The sequence below is a fragment of the Homo sapiens genome, chromosome 17 (genome assembly GCF_000001405.40).
Source record: "Homo sapiens chromosome 17, GRCh38.p14 Primary Assembly".
NCBI classification, from domain to species: Eukaryota; Metazoa; Chordata; class Mammalia; order Primates; family Hominidae; genus Homo; species Homo sapiens.
Window position 1 is genome coordinate 49472650 of NC_000017.11, and position 20094 is coordinate 49492743.

General features: G+C 52.8%; 1 annotated feature.

Annotated features, from left to right (window-relative positions):
• Positions 13632 to 14337: an enhancer, noted in NCBI's record as "H3K27ac-H3K4me1 hESC enhancer chr17:47563643-47564348 (GRCh37/hg19 assembly coordinates)". NCBI's record gives its function as "activates a minimal SCP1, AML or CMV promoter by ChIP-STARR-seq in primed H9 embryonic stem cells {active_cell/tissue: H9 hESC(primed)}" and the evidence as "EXISTENCE:reporter gene assay evidence [ECO:0000049][PMID:30033119]".

Consider the following 20094-nt stretch of genomic DNA (forward strand, 5'->3'; position numbering starts at 1 on the left):
CCTTGCGGGACTGCCGGGCCAGGAAGTCCCTCTAACCTCGCCTCCATCCACTCTGCTGCAATTTGAGCTCTCGGGTGACCTGAGTGACCCTAATCCTCCCATAGGATTTATTTCCTTTCCTCCAACCCCACCACAGAGGAAACTGGGGGTTAGAGGTCAGGATAGAAGAGGCCAAGTTCATGTCCTCAGTGCTTAGAGGCCAGGGCCAACAGGAAGAGGCTCTGCTGTATAATTGGCAATAGGGCCAGAATGGAGGAACAAATCTCCATTTTCTGGAAGGAAAACTGAGGCGTGGAGGGCTGGTTCCACCTGCCTCAGTTTTCCTAAGGCCACCTGGGGACCAGGATCCTCCTGCCACTCCTGCCTTCCCCCTTTCCTGGAGGGCTCCAACTGCCTTCAGCCGCCACTGCAGACACCGTCCCCCATAGGGGGCCCCTGAGATGTCTAACACCCCCTGTGCCTCTTCCTTTCTCTTCTCTCTCCCCTAAGAAGGGATGGGCTTCCTGAAGGAATGTGGTGACCTCTGACCCTGGTGGTGGCCACTGCTGGCTCTGCCCAATGCCCACACCTGGGGGAGGCTGCTTGTCTCTGTAGTGGACCCAGTGGGTGCTCTGAGGCAAGTGGTGTTTCTTCTCTGAGTCTCAGTTTCTCCATTTGCACAGTAAGCCAAAGGGTCCCTCTGCAGCATTTGTTCTGTGAAGCCATCCAGCTGGGAGATGGGGGGGTCAATGTACACACAAGGGGATGGGACGTGCCCACACAGGGGAGTTGGGGTGGAGACTGCAGTGCCATTCTGAGATCTATCACCTTGGCCACTCTCTGGTCCTTTTAATTTAATTTTTTTTTACTAACCCTCTTCTTCCCCATGCCTGGCTCTGGTTAATTGCGAGAAAAAAAACTGGGGAGGGGGCTGTAGAAGAAAGGAGCAGAAGGCATGGGAGGACCCCCAGTCACCTCCTATCCTGTTCCAGCCATCAGCCACTGACCATCTGTCCCCAACTCACTGTCAGCCGAGGAGGGTGGCATGGCCCCACTCTAAGGGCTACCATTTGTGGAGAGACACAGGCCTCATCTCTTAGGGAGCCCCACGGGGAGGCACAGGTCCTGCCCTCAGGTCTTTTTTAAAGCAGAGTCTCCCTGGCCTAAGGTCATTCTTCCCCAAACTCTACTGATATCAAGACATGAAGATTATTTCTCTGATACTGGGAGAGACTTGGCAGCCACCCCAGCTCCTGGGGGCTCAGAGAGGGTGAAACCTGGGTCTGGGACCACCCTGTGAGTGAGCCACAAAGGTTGTATGTTGGGCTGAGCCCACCCTTGGGGACGCCAGAAAAAGGGCAAGAAACCCAACAGGTTGAATTTCTGAAAAATGCACCAGGATCAAGTATATGTTCTCAGCCATCTCAAGTGTGGTTTTAAATGGAAAACACCAGCCACCAGGGCAGAAGCATATTTAGATGAAGAAAGTCCCTCCCTCCCCCACCCGCCCGGGAGCTTTCTTTTTGCAAAGGCAAACGTGATTATATTTATTTTGCAGGCCTGGGAGGCCCAATTGTTACCCCTCCCCTTCTCCCCACTGCGGGACACAGATCTGGACTTTACCACCAGTGGTTTCTTCTGCCAGGAGCTTAGGGGTGGTGGAGAGTTGCTGGGCTCAGAGAGAAGGATCAGAGTTCCAGCCTCTGCTTTGGATGACCTGGAGAAACTAAATGAACTCAGTTTTCTCCATCTGTAAAATGGAGGTGATCAGATCTCCTCCTGTGGTCACCAGCCTGCAATATGGTGCGCAATGAACTTTGCATCCTGGAATCCATGCTCTGTGTCCCTTCCCACACTGCACAGGGCTCATGTCTATGACCGATTGAATATTGCAGAAACGATTGTGTGAGATGTCATAAAAGACACACCTTCCTCCTTGTTCTTTCCTAGATCACTTGCTTTACAGGAAGCCAGCTGCTATGTTGTAAGGACACTCGAGCAGTCCTATGGGGAGGCCCATGTGCTGTCAGGATCACAGCCAGCCAGGTGAGACAGCCATCTTAGAAGTGGCTCCTCCACCCCAGTCAAGCCTTCAGATGACTGCAGCCCCAGGTGACACTTGACTACAATCTCTCCAGAGATCTCTAGCCAGAACTACCCAGCTAAGTTGCTCCCAGATTCCTAACCCACAGAAACTATGTGAGGTAATCAATGGTTGTAATTGGTTTAGGTCTCTAAATTTTGGGGGCAATCTGTTATGCAGCAATAGATAACTAGTACATCCCAACAGTCCCTAATCCTTCTGGCCTGGACCACACCAGTAGCTGCCCCCTTGTCTATGGGCCCTGGGTCCCTCTCTATCCCATTTGTGCCACCTGCTACATGCCAGAACCAGCCTTCTTTGCCTTTTCTCATCTGCTGGTGTTTCCCAAACTTGTCGGAGCTTAACAATCACTGGGAAACCTTGTTAAAAATCCATAATCCCTCTAGAGGGTCTGAGTCACCCCAGCAAGTTTAATGATCCAGCAACTCTGGAAAATTCTAACCTATGTAGAAGCTTCTTACATGGCTCCTAGCACATAATAGTTATTCAATAAATTTTTTTCCCCAAAACTCCGTTTCCACCCTTATCTTCTTAAGGGATGCCACATAATGAACACACATGCCATGTGCCAGAAGGTGCTAAGCATTAGCCTATTAATTCTCACTACTGGTTAGGTGCAGTGGCGCACACTTGTAATTTCAGCACTTTGGGAGGCCAAGGCAGGAGGATTGCTTGAGCTCAGAAGTTCGAGACCAGCCTGGGCCACAGGGCAAAAGCCCATCTCTACAAGAAATACAAAAAAATTAGCCAGATATGGTGGCATGTGCCTGTAGTACCAGCTAATCAGAAGGCTGAGGTGAGAGGATCACTTGAGCCTGGGAGGTCAAGGCTGCAGTGATCTGTGATCATGGCACTGGGCAACAGAGTGAGACCCTGTATTAGTCCATTCTCACATTGCTATAAAGAACTACCTGAGACTGGGTAATTTATGAATAACAGAGGATAAATTGACTCACAGTTCCACCAGCTGTACAGGAGGCATGGCTGGGGAAGCCTAAGGAAACTTACAATCATGGTGGAAGGCAAACGAGCAGCAAGCACATCTTCACATGGCAGCAGGAGAGAGAGAGAGGTGGGGAGGTGCTATACTTTTTTAAACAAGCAGATCTCGGGAGAACTCTATTACGAGACAGCACTAGGAGTATGGTGCTAAACCATTAGAAACCACCCCCATGATCCAGTCACCTCCTACCAGGCCCCAGGCCCCACCTCCAACACTGGAAATTACAATTCAACTTGAGATTTGGATGGGGACACAGAGTGAAACCATATCAGACCCTGTCTCAAAAAAAAAAAAAATTCTCACTCCTCCTCTGAGGTGGTTTGTGCTAGAAAGCTGTGGAGCCAGGACTTGAAATCAGCTCCTTTCCCTCCACAGTCTACTCTTAACCACTGCCCCACACCACCTCCCATAGGCACCACCCCTGCCCACTGGCTGATGTCTCCCTGAGGGCTGCCTTCACATCCTTCTCTCATTTTGTCCCCAGCTCGTCCCACTTTGGACCGGTTTGATCCAACTCACAATTCTGGCATCTTCCTTGTGCCAGATGAGCTCTCCCTGTCCCCTAACCAACCCCTTCACTAAATTTCATGCCAGCTATGCCCTGCCTGCCCCCCTCCTCTGCACCCCAACCAAACTCTATGGCTCCCTCTGCCAGGAAGCCTGCCTGGGCTGCCTGCTTCATTCTCATGTCTCCTTCTCTGTCCCTGGGTCTAGGCTGGGGCCCCCAGTGCATCAGTCTTGCCACCCTGCCCCACCCCACCTGCCTCAGTTTCAAGGCTCCACAAGGGTCAGAAACTCTGAAAGGGGGTTGCTCAATTCAGAGGCAGCCTGGCAGCAGCTGTGTGATTTGGGGTCAGTCACTTGAATTCTCTGAGCCTCAGTTTCCTTATTCCTACAAGGGGCATCTAAATCCTGCCTCCCATGGCTTGTGGTAAGGGCTCAATGAGACTGTGACTTTGAAAAGCACCTACAGGCCAGGCGCAGTGGCTCATGCCTGTAATTCCAGCACTGTTGGAGGCTGAGGCGGGTGTATCAATTGAGGTCAGGAGCTCATGACCAGCCTGACCAACATGGTGAAACCCCATCTCTACTAAAAATACAAAAATTAGCAGGGTGTGGTGGTATGTGCCTGTAGTCCCAGCTACTCAGGAGGCTGAGGCACAAGAATCGCTTGAACCCAGGAGGCAGAGGTTGCAGTGAGCAGAGGTCATGCCATTGCACTCCAGCCTGGGCAACAAGAGTGAAACTCCATCTAAAAAAAAAAAAAAAAGGGAAAAGAAAATCACCTTACAGGTTGCAAAGTGCTGTATAAATGTGAAGGGTTAGTATATATGAGTTCTTCTCAACACTGCCTTTCCTCCACCACACACACACACACACACACACACACACACACACACACCCTCTGCTGAAGTCCAGGGGTTACTTTAATGCTCCCCAAAGCACCCCAAGTCTTTGTTCATGCCACCTCCACTGCTCAGAAGCTCTTCCCTTTCTTCTTTGCCTGGCTTGCCCTTATTCATCCTTCTCACGCCAGCTCAAGTGTCACTGCCTCCATGAAGCCCTCCACTTCTCCTGGCAGAATTGATGCCTTCCATCTTCTGCATGGGTGCCTTTGCTGTCTTCATTATCCTACTTGTGTCAGCTTATACAGCTACCTCCCCCAGTGGACCATCTTATTGACCTCTGTCTGTATGCATGCAGCAGGCACTCAATACATGCAGATTAGTTTTACTTTCCCTGCTATACATTCCAGTCTTACTTAATCATAGTTTGCTGCTTCTCTTTGCTATCCATAAACATTTCCTCGTTCAAATAGGTCTTCAGGATTCACTCCCTTCCCCTCTAAAAAAAATCTCCACCCATTACCTGCCCTCTGCAAAAAGAACCAAAATGAGGCACGACTGTGGTCTGGCACTCAGCCTCTCTCCTAGGGTCTGGGACAGACAAGAAAGGCATTGGGAGGGTGCAGGCAGGCAGGAGGTTCTATCACTCCACCGCCACCCAAGGGGAATTGGCTTTGGCTCCACTGTTGTGGGGATGGGGGTGGGGGGTCAGTATTTTGTTTTCTGGCATTTCATTTATGCCTTGGAAATTGGCTTGGGCTGTCAGGGGAACTGGGAGGGGAGCCTGGCTGGTGGCAGGGGGTGTCTCTATGAGTAGTCCTTGACATCTCATTGGCTTTCTCCCTGTGCTGAGGGCAAGATCAAACATCAAAAGCACGGCCTGGCTGGTGCCTAGGCTAATGGAACCGGGCAAGCCTCTTCCAGATGTCTGCAGCTGTTTTCTCCTATTCCCCATCCAGAGTCTTGGGCTTGGAGACTCATGTGAGCTGCCCAGTGGGTCACACATCCCCAGGTTTGGGGCTGAGGCTGGCCTCCCCTTCTCCCACCCACGACCCCAGGTCTCCACTGATGGAGACTCTCTCACCTCCCCCACTTCCCCTCCTTCTAGCCAAGGATTCTTTTAATGCACCATCTACTGGGAAGTCCTTCTTGCTATAGAACTTGCTACCTTCCTGCTGCAACAGTCTGTCCCCTGGGACTGGAGGAAGGGAGAGGAGGAGAAATGCTCAGGCAGAGAGGAAGGAAAGAGAGATGTTTGGGATCATTTGACATGGGGAAATGTGGGGAGATAATGAAATATGTGGAGCTCAAGTTAATTTGAAAATGGGAGCACTCCACTTCCAGGCACTCAGCCTCTCTGATATCCTCAGAGAGGATATCAGCCTCTTAGCTGCCCAAATCCCTCTTCCCAAATGCTATAAGCTTCTAATAAGGATGTAATACAATTGAATTTATTACAAACTTAATTGTTTATAGAAATTTACCCAGCTGCAGACAGGACTGGGAGGATGGACCCAGTGGGAGGATGGGAGAGCTGGAGAAACAGATGAGGAGAAGGGAGAGGAGTGGAGGAGGGATGGGAAGAGAGAAAGGGAAAGAAAAAGGAGGAGAGGAGCACAATGAAGAGAACCAAGAAGGAAGGGTGTCTGGAGAAGGAATCAGAGAGAAAGAGGATGGGATGGAAAGAAGCAGCTAAAGACAGACTAAGGGGAGAGTCAAGAGGAAATGCAAAGGAAGAGGGCTCAAGGAAGAATAAAAGAGAGGAGAGAAAGGCAGAGACAGGGAGACAGGAGAAGGTGGAGAAGGCGGAGAAGGCAGGGAGGAGGGAGGAAACCCTGCAGATAGCAGTGGGGCCTTGCTGCCCAGAGAGGATGGTCTCTATCGGGGAGGAGACCCAGACCACTGGTGCCCAGCCACACTCAGAGGACTGGGGACAGTGGAAGACAGGGTGTTACTAGGAGAATTAGCTTGGGGGATTGCTGCCAGAGGGAGAGAAAAGAATGTCCTCTGTAGGTGGGAGAGCTGGACGATCAACTATGGACCAGTTTCCTCCGAGGTGGCACCCCCAGGTCAGGATGATCAGAAGGTGAGGCTTTGGGTGCTGCAGAATCTGTGCAGAGAGGCTAGAGCCAGCTGTCTCCGTCCCTTCCAGCCTGCATCTGTAAGATAGGGAGGGTCACTCTGCCCTCATATCTCCCAGGAATGGTGTGGGATTTGGTGCTGCTACTCAGTTTTCGGATGGGGACCCGAGGCTCAAGGAGCGGGTAGTGATGTTTCCAAGGTTACCCTCAGACAGTGGCAGGGTTGCAATCAGAACTCAGGTCATCTTAACTCCCAGTCAAGAGCTCAGTCTGCAAAGACTAAGTCATCGCAGGAGTTTGGTGCTGATTTCTAAAGTGGCAGGAGAGCCAGGGGAAGGGCGGGGCGTTTTGGCTCACCTGAGGCCCGGCTGTCAGTCCGTGACTCCCTGCCTCCACGGCTCTGAGGAGGCCCCAGCCCATGTTGGTGAGCGAGTGCTGTGTGTGAAGAATGGGCCCCGTCAGCCTGAGAGGGAGAGGCTACATTGAGCCCTCACACGAATCCATGTAGTGGCCAGGCGGGACACTATGGGTGGGGTTTGGAGAAGGGAAAAACTTCCAGAGACAGCTCTTCAGGACTGGTGCTGAGACAGGGACGCCTGTGTTGCAAATGTGGGGAAGGCATCTATCTGCAGGGAGACATCTGCTCTTATTCAATTGATCAGAGCCGTGTGCTGGCTTTTCTGGCTGAGCCCTGGCTGGATCTAGAAACTTCCAGGACCCTCTCCTCTGCTATGGGTGCTATGTCATATTGTCCTTCTCTTTGGTTGTCCACTCCCTCATCCCAACACACATAAACACACACAGAAATCCACATTCTTTCATTCATTCAATAAACACAAGCAATTAGCACACGTTAGGCGCAGCCTTAGGCACTGGGGATTCACCAGCATGGTGCCCATTATCCAAGAACATACAGTCTAAGAGGCAGAGGCAGACACAGTCTGGGACAATTCTACAATAGGAGGAACATGGAGCCTGGCCTGAAGTAGGTAACCAATGAACTTCACTCTCGCCCAGGCTGGTGGTGCAACCATAGCTCCCTGCAGCTTCAACCTCCTGGGTTCAAGGGATCCTCCTGCCTCAGCCTCCTGAGTAGCTGAGATTACAGGTGTGAACACCACATCACCTAATGTTTTTATTTCTTTGTAGAAGTGGGGTCTCCCTGTGTTGCTCAGGCTGGTCTCAAACTCCTGGCCACAAGTGATCCACTTGCCTCAGTCTCCCAAAGTCTTGGAATTACAGGCATAAGCCACCACTCCTGGCAATATTCATTGAATGAATAGTGTGAACCTAGTGCTGGGAAGCAGAGGGGAGAAGGGGGCTCACTGTCTGTGGGAGCTGGCCAAGTAGTCACAGAGGAGCAGCATTTGGACAAGGCTTAGGAGACTCCAAGCTCCTTGAAGGCAGGAGCTGTGTCGCAGTCATCCTCGGATTCCACCATCCTGTGTAGTCTGGCATAGAGCAGGAGCACAGTGTTTGACAAATGAATGATGCGTTAGTCAGGAACCTCTGGGTTGTCAATAACAGAAGTCCATCTCAAACCTGCCTAAGAAAAAAAGAAGAGACTTTATGGCTCAACATAACTTAAGTTTACTGCAGTAGGGTTAGGGTTGAGGTCCGGTTAAAGCTAGGTGCAGGTGTTAAATGTCGCCACTGACCATCTCTTGGCTCTGCTTTTTCCATATATCAGCTTTATTCTCAATCAAGCTCTCCCAGGGAGTGGCAACCCCAGCACAAAGAAAGCACTTCTTTCCATGCAGCCCGAAAGAAAGTTCAGGGCTGACTCTCAGTGGAGATAGTGATGTTCCTATCCCTGAACCAATCTGATGGCTGGGGTTATTGTATGCAAATTTGCCCCGCTTTGCTCACATGGCCACACCCAGAGTGGGCAGAGGGGTGAAGGTGGAGTGAAAGTAAACTTCTCTCCATAAAAGAGTTGGGAAGAGGAAGTTTCCCATAAACAAAAAGGCAAAGTGGTGCTGAGAAACAGATGTCCATGACAAATGAATACATGAATGATTGGATAAGTGAATTGGGCCTGGAAGGGTGAATAGGAGTTCACCAGGTAGAGAAAAGAGCAAGGGTCCCCTTATGCATGTGTATACACACAGAGTCTGATTTCAATTCTGTTTTATTCTCAACCCCAGCTGTCCATTCGTGTCTGCCCCCATCTGTGTGTCTGGATCATCCTGGAAGCCCCAGAGGGCAGGGACAATGTTTGCCACACTCCATCTTGGCACTGCCCAGGCCTGTCCATTTAGACACTTAATCAAGGCTGTTTGGGTTCTGCAGCTGACCTTCCCTGCAAGCAGGGAGTTCTCTCCCTTCCCCAGTAGATCTGGGCTGGGCCAGGCCACTGTCCAGTGCCAGGGGAGGGGCTGGAAGCAGTAAAGAGCCAGAGACTTGAGAACGGGATGATAGCAGCCCCCTGCCCGCAGTCTCTCCTGTTCATCTGGGAATTCCTCCCTGCCCTCACTGGCATCAGCAAGGCCTTAAAATGTCACTTGTGAAGTGTAAACTTAGCAATGTGACATTAACAGAGGGGTTTTTTTAAGAGGAAAAAACACATACAATTGCTCCCTTCTGTTTCTTTTTTTTTTTTTTTTTTGAGACAGAGTCTTGCTCTGTCACCAGGCTGGAGTGCAATGGCGCGATCTTGGCTCACTGCAACCTCCGCCTCCCTGGTTCAAGTGATTCTCCTGCCTTAGCCGCCCAAGTAGCTGGGACTACAGGCGCCCACCACCACACCCAGCTAATTTTTGCATTTTTAGAAGAGACAGGGTTTCACCATGTTGGCCAGGATTGTCTCGATCTCCTGACCTCGTGATCCAACCGCCTTGGCCTCCCAAAGTGCTGGGATTACAGGTGTGAGCCACCGCACCTGGTCCTCTTCTGGTCTTTGAGCACATGATGCAAGGAGTTTACCTAGAGCTGCGGTTTCACTTCTTTCTACCTGATACTCTCCCTGTGCTGCACCTTGCCTCCCAATCACAGCTTTTAATGGCTAAAGTCCATGGAGGGGCTTTCTTTTATGTCCCTGATCCTCTACCAGTGGCTGTTTAAGCTGTTGTTGGTTATCTGTTCCTTCCTTCACTCCTTTATCATACATTCATTCACCCACAGCAATTGAGTATCTGCTATGCAGGCTTGCTCTAGGCAAAGAGGACACTCAGATAAAAGAGGCAATCACTCCCCTCCCCAAGGAGCTCAGCGCCCGGGTGGATGGAGAGGGAAGGAAAGCACCAGCCACACCACAGAGTGCTGGTGACAGGCAGAGAAGTACAAGGTGCCTGAGGTCCGCATCAGTCACCCAGGCTGTAATGAAATGGAGGACTTCCTGGAGGAGGTGATGCCTGTGCTGGGATGAGTAGAAGGGAGTAAGACAGTCCCAAAGAGGGACATGGTGAGGTGGTGAGGCTGGAGAAAGAGAAATGATGAGTCATTGGCTTACAGCTTTTTCTGCAGCTGAGTTCCTTCCCCTCCCTGCTGCCATGTCTTCATTCATTAGTTTGTTTGACTGTTCATGCAGCTCATTCATTCTAACCTCCCTCCCTCAGTGCCAGGCACAGGCTGGGTGCTGTGGATCCCAACAGGGACCTTCTGTTGGAACCCAGTGGAGCAGTCAGCAGCCCTGTCTCAGACAGTGGGGGTGTATGCTTGAAGTGGGAGGGGGGAGGCAGCCTTCTGCCCCCTAAGATCCAGAGTTGGGCTGAGATTGAGGGTCACACCATAGGTTCCCCCATAAAGTTTGGGTGACCCCATTGCTGGCCCGCTGCAGGAGGGGCCTCCAAGGAGGACTGGGATGGGAGAGGGACCTCAAAAGGCAGAGGAAGGAGAGAAAAGTCGCCAGGGAAATTAGAGTTTCTGAAGCTGCCTTGGCTGCAGTAATGAGAACCAGAGAAGGGGCTAATGGAGATCAGATTGCCCGGGGGCTGCCTCCCAGCAGCCCCCTCCCCAGCATGCTGAAAGGAGAGGCCTGGGGACAGGATGTAGATGGGAAAGGGCCACTCTCTCCACGTGGTCCATCTCTTAATCTCAGCTGGAGTTGAGGGAGTTGAAGCTAGAGGAGGAGGACCAGATGGACTGTATCCTATGCGAGGTGGTCAGAGATGGGGAGAGAGTGTAGAAGCCGGCTGGCTACTCAGCCCCCAGGCCTTGGGCTCCACAGGTGGCCACTCGGTTATTGATGAACTAGCCTCCCCATGCACAGGACCCTCTAGCCATGAAGGGCTGGGGTGGGGCACTCATAGGAAGAAGAAAACCTGGGCTACGCCGCTGAGAAGATTTCCCCACCTGATGGAGGGGACACACTCCAGAAAGCCCCGGCCTAGGATGCAGGATGTCCCTGGCCTCGGGGAGCCCGTTTGGTGAGAGAGGTGGCTGGTGCAACAGTCTGCCTGGCTGGGAGAAGTGACAGTGCTGACCCCCTGGAAGCACTCACAACAAGGGGAAGACAAAACTACTACCACTTCTAGGATTAGTACTTCTACTACTAGTACTGCTAGTAATAATAACAACAGCAATCTCAAATTGAGCATTCATTTTGTGCCAGAACCCTAGTTAAGAGTTTTGCACCCACTTAGCCTCATTTAATTTTCACAACCACCTCAAGAGGAGGAAAGGGCTGACGTCACCATCATTTTGCAGATGGAGAAGACAAAGCTCAGAGAGGGGAAGTCACTTGCCCAAGGTCAGAGCCCTCAAGGAAGCCCACTGAGCACTGGCCCCCGTCGCCTGATCTCCAGGAGGCCCTGTGCTCTGGACACCAAGGGACCAAGAGTCAGTGAGCCCAAGCCATCGCTCTCCACTGTCCTTTATCCCTCTGTCTTTCTCTATGTCTGCCTCAGTCTCTGTCTTTCTCTCCTTCCTCTCTCTTCTTCTCCATCTCAGTTCCTCTTTCTCTCTCTCTCTCCTTGTCTCTCCCTCCTTTCTTCTGCTCTAACTCTGTCTCTGTTCCCCTACTTCCCTCCCTCAAGTGCAGTCAAACAGGTCACTTGGCCCAGGAAGGTGCTGAGCAAATCCCATGGCGGGGGCTGGGGTGGGGGGATTCTGTGCCCTTGACCTGTGTCCTTTCCCCCAAGGCTGGGAGCCAGGAGCCAGGGCCTGCCTGCAGGGGGCTGTGAGGGCATGGGGGTGGGGCACACAGGCCACATGACCTCTTGAAGGATGCCAACAGCCCCGGGAGAGGAGACAGGAGAATCTGGGCATGAGGCAGCTGAACTCGAGGTGGGACGGCACAGGAGCTGCTCACTGGGTCTCCGGGCCAGGGTCATGGTGCAAGGTGGGGACAAAAATCCTCCTCCCTCCTCCTCCTTCCAATCCCTCTTTTCTCTTCCTGTCCTTCTGTTTCTTCTCTCTGCCTCCTTTCTCCTTCTCTGGTTCTTTCTCCTCACCCCTTCTCATTTTCTCCTCCTCCCTGCATTTATCCTAGAGCTTGCATTTTCTCTCTTTCTTTTTCTCTCTCTCTTTTCTCCCTCCCCACCCCTCCTCCCCTTCTATCGATCAGTCTCCCCAGCTCTAGCCAACACGAAGGCCTTGGATGGTACTCACAGTCTTGCTTTAAAATTTATTGCCCAGTGAATGCGGCGGCAGATGGAAGTCTCCACCACCCCACCCCCACCCTCTCTATCGCCTCATCCCAACAAAAGCCAATCTAGACAAACGTCGTCCATCAAATGCACCAATATGGGGTTATTTATAGGCTACCCCCTTCCAAGAAAGCAGAGTGTTTTTTCCTCCTCTCTCTCTTTTCTCTTTGAGCGTTCACAGCTCAGGAGTGAGAGGGACGGTGGGATTCGATATTCAAGAAGCTGCACAATGAGGTTCCCATCCGTCAGATTCTAGGGTAGGGGGGCGTAGAAGTGCCTTGATTGGAAATGAATTAATTAGAAGTGAGGCTCTTCAAGTCTCCAAGTTGGGTTATTTATAGTGTTCGGTTAATTTTGATAATTAACACTGGGAAAGAATAGTGAGTTCCGGGCAAAGCAGTGCCCGCCAACGGAGACGCGCTTCCCGCCCCGTCGCTGCCCCTCCCCACTTGCTCCATTTGGACTCTGTCAAAATAGGCTACTCTCTGCTGCCGAGGCCCTGGGTTTTCTAAAAGTAGAATGTAGGTGGGAAGGCCAAAGGCATAGGGGCTGCAGTAGGGGACTCAGGCTGTCAGAGGTCCAACGCTATAGCACCAGGCCAGTGCTCCTCTCCTCTTCTGGCCAGATGGCCTTCCTGGAGAAGCAGGTGCCAGCTGCTGGTCCGGGTGGGATGTGCAGTGTAGCCCACCGCACTGGGAGAGCAGGAGAGGCTGTACCCAAGCTCTGGGCATAGATGTTCATTCTACCAAAGCAGCCAGGAGGAGCGAGGCTGGACCAACCAGGGTGACAGGAATCAGAGACAGCCAGACAGCTGCCAGGTTTGAAAGGAGAGAGGAGAATGGGAGAGCTTCTCGGAGAAGCAGGAGGTTTTGACCTGCAGCCTGCTGTCTGCCTGTGGGCAGGAAGGGCATTTCAAAGAGAGGCAGTGATCACCACCTACCAGGAAAGGGGACTTCAGAATTTGCCAGCTCCCCTCAATCCATTTGCTGCCCCATCCCCTACCTTGCCACCAAACTGATAGCTCAGCATTTCCATCCACACCACTCCCTTTCGCAAGCAGCACCCCCTGGCCCGCCCAGAGTGCCCTGCCCTCTCCCCTGTGAGGGTCTACCATGGTTCAAGGCCAACTCTCCTGTTGCCTCCTCTGAGCCCAGCTGAGTCGGTGGCTTCCCGCCTCCAGGGCCCCCCTCATTTTGTTTAGTGGGATTCTCAGTGGTGGCAGAGAGGGCTGGTGGTAAAGATAGGACTGGAAAGATACGGAGGCTGGATTCTGAAGGGTCCTGGATGTCCCACTAGAGTCTGGCCCCTTCCCTAGAAGTGATGGGGAACTGCTTTCTTGCCTGGGAGCTGGGCAGTGGGCTGCCCCCAACACCAGGGTGGTTCGGCAGGCAGAGATCACATTCCTTCCTGGGTTAAGGACCAACTCCCCACTCGGAGTGCAGAGCAGGGGGACCACCCCAGCGCAGGTACAGGAAGTGGTGGGAGGCCTTTCCCTCTGGGCCCCAGCAGCAGTTTCTGCAGTCTCCTGTCCCACTGGAGTGCAGAGGCGGGTTGGGAACGAGAAGAGGAACTTCAAATGCAACACTCCTGCCTTACGCTCTTGGAGGGAAGCTCCACTCCCGGGCCTGCCAAGGGCTGGGGCCAGACCGGAAACGGGATCATCTTCGATCAAGGGCTGTGGGCTCTGCTGGTTCCTGCTGCCTGTGCCGGCTCCCCCGTCCTCCCCTCCTCCCCTTGCGGATGTTCTCAGGTGTCTCATCTAAATCCCTTCCCTGGCCACTCCCCTCTCCTCTCTTCCCTCTTGATCTGTGATAGAAAGAGGGAGGGGAGAAGGGGAGAGTCCTCCTCCTGGTGGCTTCTGCCTGCTCCCAATCTCCCCATCTTTGTATTGATGTAAGCTTCACCTCTCTGCCCACTGGCATCCGAACTCCCCTGAGGGAAGCCTGCAGAGACTGATCCTGCTGCCTCCTGTGTGCTGTGCGCCCGCATTCTTCAGTCTCTGGGCTCTGGACAGAGGGGCACTGGGCCACCCCTGGGCTTGCCCCAGGTTGCCTGGGAGTTGCTGATCCATATTCTAGCCTGAATTCTCTGTGGCAGACTGCAGTCCTCCTTGAGGACAGTGACTTGGTCCCCCTCCTCCCCAGACCTGGGGCTCCCCAGTAGTGTGGAAATGAAGTATCTCTGTTCCCCACCCCACCCCACTCCAGGTCCAGCCATCCCACCCTCCACCTGTGTCCTTGCCCTGTTCCCAGTGCCCACCAGCCTCCAGGCCCTGCTGCTCTCTCTGGCAGGGCCTGCGGCACTGGCAGCTCCAGGCCAGGCCCCTGACCTCAGGCCGCCATGGGCCAGCCCCCAGACACCTCTCAGTGTTTTTGCCTCGATTTTCAGCCCAGGGGCCTTTGGGGAGCTGCAATCCCGTCTCCAGCTTCCTCTGAAAGGAGAGCACATTTTTAATTAAAGTGGAAAAAGAGCTGAAAATCTGTTCGCATTTAATCATCTTGACGACCTTTTTGCTTAAGAGTTTCCAGCTGAGGTGGAGGGAGCATATAAGGCGGGGGCAAAGACATTTCTCAAGACCCGGCCTGGGTCGGGAACAAGGAGGGAGAACCTCTGCAGGGATGAATAATGGAACAGGAGCGGAGGTGGCCAGGGCTCTGAGTGCCGACTCAGCACTTCCCCTGCTGGCTCCTTCAGGAGGTGCCCCCACCCTGCCTCTCTCCCCTCTTCTGGGCACCCTGTAGGCTGGGCTGGGCTGGACAAGAACCGGGACTCAGACTCCCCAGGGAGCAGGAGCAGAGGCCATGTGGGAAGGACAGTTCCTCTCTGTCACAGGCGGAGGACACAGGTATGGAGGGGCACTGTGAGTGGCTTCTAGACACACAGAGAATTGGGGCAATGCTGAGGGGCCTAGCCCAGGCCTTCTTCACCACACCTGCCGAAACTGCTGTATAATCCCCTTCTCTGCAACTGCCTTACTGAGTGACTTGGAACATGTGGCACATGTCTCTGGGCCTCAGTTTCCCCTACTGTTGATGGCCTCTGGGCTACTTTCCACTTCTGAAATCCGACTCCCAGCCTAGAATGTGTAATTGAGAATGCTTGTGTTCCTGCCCCAGGTGTAACATGGTCCTGTTTGTTGTTGTTGTGTTGTTGTTGTTGTTGTTGTTGCTGCTGCTTGAGACAGAGTCTTGCTCTTGCCCAGGCTGGAGTGCAGTAGCACGATCTTGGCTCACTGCAACCTCCACCTCCCAGGTTCAAGCAATTATCCTGCCTCAGCCTCCCGAGTAGCTGGGACTACAGGTGCCTGCCACCAAGCTCGGCTAATTTTTTGTATTTTTAGTAGAGATGGGGTTTCACTGTGTTAGCCAGGATGGTCTCGAACTCCTGACCTTGTGATCCACCCGCCTCGGCCTCCCAAAGCATTGGGATTACAGGCGTGAGCCACCGCACCTGGCCCAACACGGTCCTGTTTGATTGGGGAACTCCTTAGACATCCCTCCCCAAAGCCATGGGCTGTGTATCTCCCCCTCCCTGCTCCCCTGCCAGCCCCAGAGCCTAGGAGAGGAGTATTGCACTGAGGTTCTCCTCCGAGTTCCAGACCCACCTCTGTCCTCCTAAGGACTGTGTCTCCCTCCTCAGAGCAGGGGGACTTCCAGGCCTCAGACTGGAGCTTCCTCCAGGGCAGGACTGCATTTCTCTCTCCTCCTTCCTTGGAGGAAAGCACTGACTTGGCAAGTGGCATTGGTGGTACTGAAAGAGCTGGTGCAGGAAGAGCTGGTGACTCAGTCTTCTGCTTTTAAATTTCCAGCCCTGTCTCAGGGGTCCCCTGGCCCGGCCAACCTGGCCTTGCAATGGCAGGACTGGGAAATGATCCTCCTTCACCTCCTCCCCTTCCTGAGCGCTCAGATGGGTTTTCCCTTGAAGGGGAGGCGGGACTTAGTCCAAACTGTGCATCCATGCCCTTTGCCCTCCCCTGCTGGAAACCAACCCAGACAATTGCACTTGACCCCACTTCCCAGACAAGTCCAAGTGAAGATAAGCTGAAGCCTGGGACGTCTCCTACCCCAGCGATTCCCGTGGGAATCTTGCTGGAGCTGGAGGCCTGTCATAGCTCTGGCTCTTATCTACAGCAGGAAGGACCCCGGGCCTCAGTCTCCAGTGCTGAAATGTCATCTCACCCCTCATCCGGCCTCCAGCCCGCAGGCACCATCAGCAGCAGCATCAAACAGAGTAAGACTAATTGACATCTCTTCAGCTCATCTGACTTTCAAAGCACACTCACACTCAATACAGTACTTCCTTGACTCCTCAAAGTAATTTGGTGAGACTAGTATCTTATGCCCACTTTACAAACGAGGAAAGGGAGGCCTAGAACAAGAAAGGGACTGTCACAAGGCCACACAGCAAATAAATGATAGACTAGCGCCCGTGTCTCCCAATGCCTCTTCCTCCTATCTTCCCATTGTTGACTTCCCGCTGTTCCAGCCATGGTGTAGCCTATTTAGTTTCTCTTTAAAACATCCTAGCCCGTGCCATGGCTCATGCCTGTAATCCTAGCACTTTGGGAGGCCAAGATGGGTGGATTGCTTGAGCCCAGGAGCTCGAGACCAGCCTGGGGAACATGGCATAACCTCATCTTTACAAAAAATATAATAATTAGCCTGGTCTGGTGGTGCACACCTGTAGTCCCAGCTACTCATGATGGCTGAAGTGGGAGGATCACTTGAGACTGGGAGTTTGAGTCTGCAGTGAGCTGTGATCGCATCACTGCCCTCCAACCTGGGCAACAGAGCAAGACCCTGTCTCAAAAAAACCCCAAACCAACCAACCAAACAAACAAACAAAGTAACAAACTAACAAGCAAAACAAACAAAAAACTATCCTGCCTGTCCTTGGATGCAAAACAAAAAGTGAAAAAGATGACTGGATGCTTCAGAACTGTCAGGCAGCTCCGCAGTCCTTCAGGGCTGGGAAGAATCAAAGTTGAGAGTTGCGAGGAACTTCCTAGAGGAAGGCTCCTGGAGGAGAACTGTGTGCTGTAGAGGTGAGGAGAGAGGCAGGACCAGAAGGCGGAGGTAAGGGGCTGGCTCCTAGACTCAGGGAGATGGCTGCCCTGGGGTATGGGGTACTCTCTGTGCCCTTCCCATTCAAGCACTTGGGTTTAGCATTGCCCACTCTGGGTACCCCTTCTCCAAGACACAAAGCCTAGGGAAGATGAAGTCCCCAGCACCTATGTTTGAATGAAGTGACCAGATCTTGTGACATTGACAGAAGGTATGGGTGCCACACGGGGGAGTGTTGGGAGAGAGGGTGGCCTGGAAGAAAGACGACTGCAGACGTCATTCTACTGTCATGTCAAAGGAAAAGAGAAGACAGGCAAGGGCTTGGAGGTGGGAGAAGCTGACGAATGTGGGTCAGATGGGGCTCCTTCCAGGATAGGGTGGAGGCGCACCAGCCTCTGAGGCTGGAGCAGACGGTGGGGGAGGGCACTGTGCAACTGGCCCACTTTGATGCTCAAGTTAATCTAACTGGACTCCAACCTTGCTAATTCCTCCCACCCCTCTCACTACTAATTCAGCTCCAGAATCAAAACTCGCTGACCCCAGACCAGTCCCCAGGCCCCACCCTGTTCCCTCATTGGACAGAACCCCCTTGCAGCCCAGGAGTCAGCTCAGAGGTAATCACTGCATCATGCTTCAAAGCCGCTAAGCAAGCTCTGAATGGGGGGCAGCAGGTTTCACTTACCTTGCCTGGCCGCCTGCCCGGGGCAGATGGGATGCAGCTGGGGGAGGGCCCCACCTCGTCCTCCGCTCTCTCCCTGGCTCTCTGCCTTGGAGATGGTTGTCTCCTTGCCCACCTCATTTCACCCCTCCTCTGGTTGGACATTGGAATTGAAGAATAGGGGAAGTGATTCCCCCAAAGCAGGAAAAGTGAGAACTGGTGAAGGTCACTTCCCTGGCTGGCCTCCACCCCTCCTCTCCTGCCCCCTAAGCTAAATTCTATAAATACATGTCAGGAGAGAGTCTGAGTAGTAGCTGGAGGGCAGAGTTCACTTCTTTGAGATGGAAGTTCTATCTCCCCAATCCACGGGGTGGCTGCCAGTCTAGCTGGGGTGAAGGCTGGAGGAGCTGGGATGGATGGGAGAAGCGACCGGGGAAGGCGACTGTTGAGGGCCTGGTGCAGAACAGTGGCCACTTACGGTACCACTGCTTCCTTCTGGAGGTCCTTGGACAAGTGGCTTAACGTCTTCAAGCCTCAGTCTCTTCTTCTGTAGGATGGTGATCCCAGTACTGTACTTCCCTCATGGGATTGTAGTGGAGTTTAAGGGGGTCAAGCAGTCCCAATAAGTGTGAGTTCTCATTGTCTGCGATCCCATTTCTGCTTGGAAGTTGGCTGGAGCTGCAGGCTGGCTCCCCAGCAACTGCTGGGGACATGAGGCACAGGGAGCTGTGAGTTGTGCTTTGCTGAGGGGCTGAGATGAGGGGGGTGGAGTGGAATGGGAGGACAGGGAGGACAGTGTGTATTAAGGACGTTGCCTTTCTGGAGGGGCAGGGTGACGGTGGGGTGGTGAGCTATATAGGGGAGGAGTTGCCCCTCCCATTTGATTCCTAAAGATGCAGTTTGACGTGACTGCCACTCCCAGCTCCATGTGGAATTGCACTGATGTTCTCCACCCTTTCTCTTCAGAGTCACTATAGGACCAGGAAGCTTGGGGGTGGGGGGTAGGGGGAGGAGTCCTCTCTATGGGCACTCTGTTATAGGAGATGGTTCTGAGGGACTCTCCAGGAACACTGCTGGCCTCTTGGTGCCCTCTGTGGGATCCCACCTGCTGGTCAGCCCCTACGAGCCCTCTCTCCATGCCATATCCTGCAGCTGTGGCTCTAAGTGCTGAGGATTAGGAGAGAGGGGGCTGGGAAGACAGTGTGGCTTGTCAAGCAGGGAGAAACTTTTGGAGCCCGCTCATGTCTGGGGCCAGGAGTTGTGGACACTAGAGGGTTATACTCAGGCAGGCAGTGGCTCCATGAGGCCTCTGATATTGTTCCTAGGAAAAGGAAGGGCCAGTGCATCCTGCCCTCATGAAGAATCTCTGTTGCTCGTGGTGGTGCAGATGTAGGAAGATAGGTGTTGGAAGCCACGGCCATGGCAGCCGTGGTGGTGGTGACTATGGTGATCATAGTGATGGTGATAACTGTGGCCGTGTCATGGTGGTGATAGTTGTGATTCTGGTAGTGACACTGATGGCAGTGGCATAATGATGATGGTCATAATGGTGCTGGTGTTGTTAGAAGTGGTGGTGATGGTGGCAGTGGTGGTGATGATGGTGATGGTACTGGTGGTGGTCATAATGATGATGGTCATAGTGGTACTAGTTTTGGTATAGATGCTTCTGGTCATGGTGATAGTGGGAGTCTCAGCAAAGGAATATCCTGATCATATCCAGGCTATCTGGTATGGTCAGTCAAGCCAAGACCTCACATTATAAACTAACTCTTCATGGCTGGGCGCGGTGGCTCACGCCTCTAATCCCAGCAATTTGGGAGGCTGAGGCGGGTGGATCACCTGAGATCAGGAGATCGAGACCATCCTGGCCAACATGGTGAAATCCTGTCTCTATTAAAAATACAAAAATTAGCTGGGTGTGGTGGCACATGCCTGTAATCCTAGTTACTCGGGAGGCTGAGGCAGGAGAATCACTTGAACCAAGGAGACGGAGGTTGCAGTGAGCCGAGATCGTGCCACTGCACTCCAGCCTGATAATAGAGAGAGATTCTGACTCAAAAAATAAATAAAATAAATAAAATAAAATAACTCTTCATATCAAATAACTAACACACTAGAACATCAGCTTCATAAGGAGCTGCATGAATCCCCAAGGCCTGCAGAATCCCCAAGGCCTAGAGCAGTGTGTGGCACACAGCAGATGCTCAATAAATACATGTTGAATGAATGCAAGGGAAGTGAGTTCCTCCTTATGATGAACACCACGTTACTT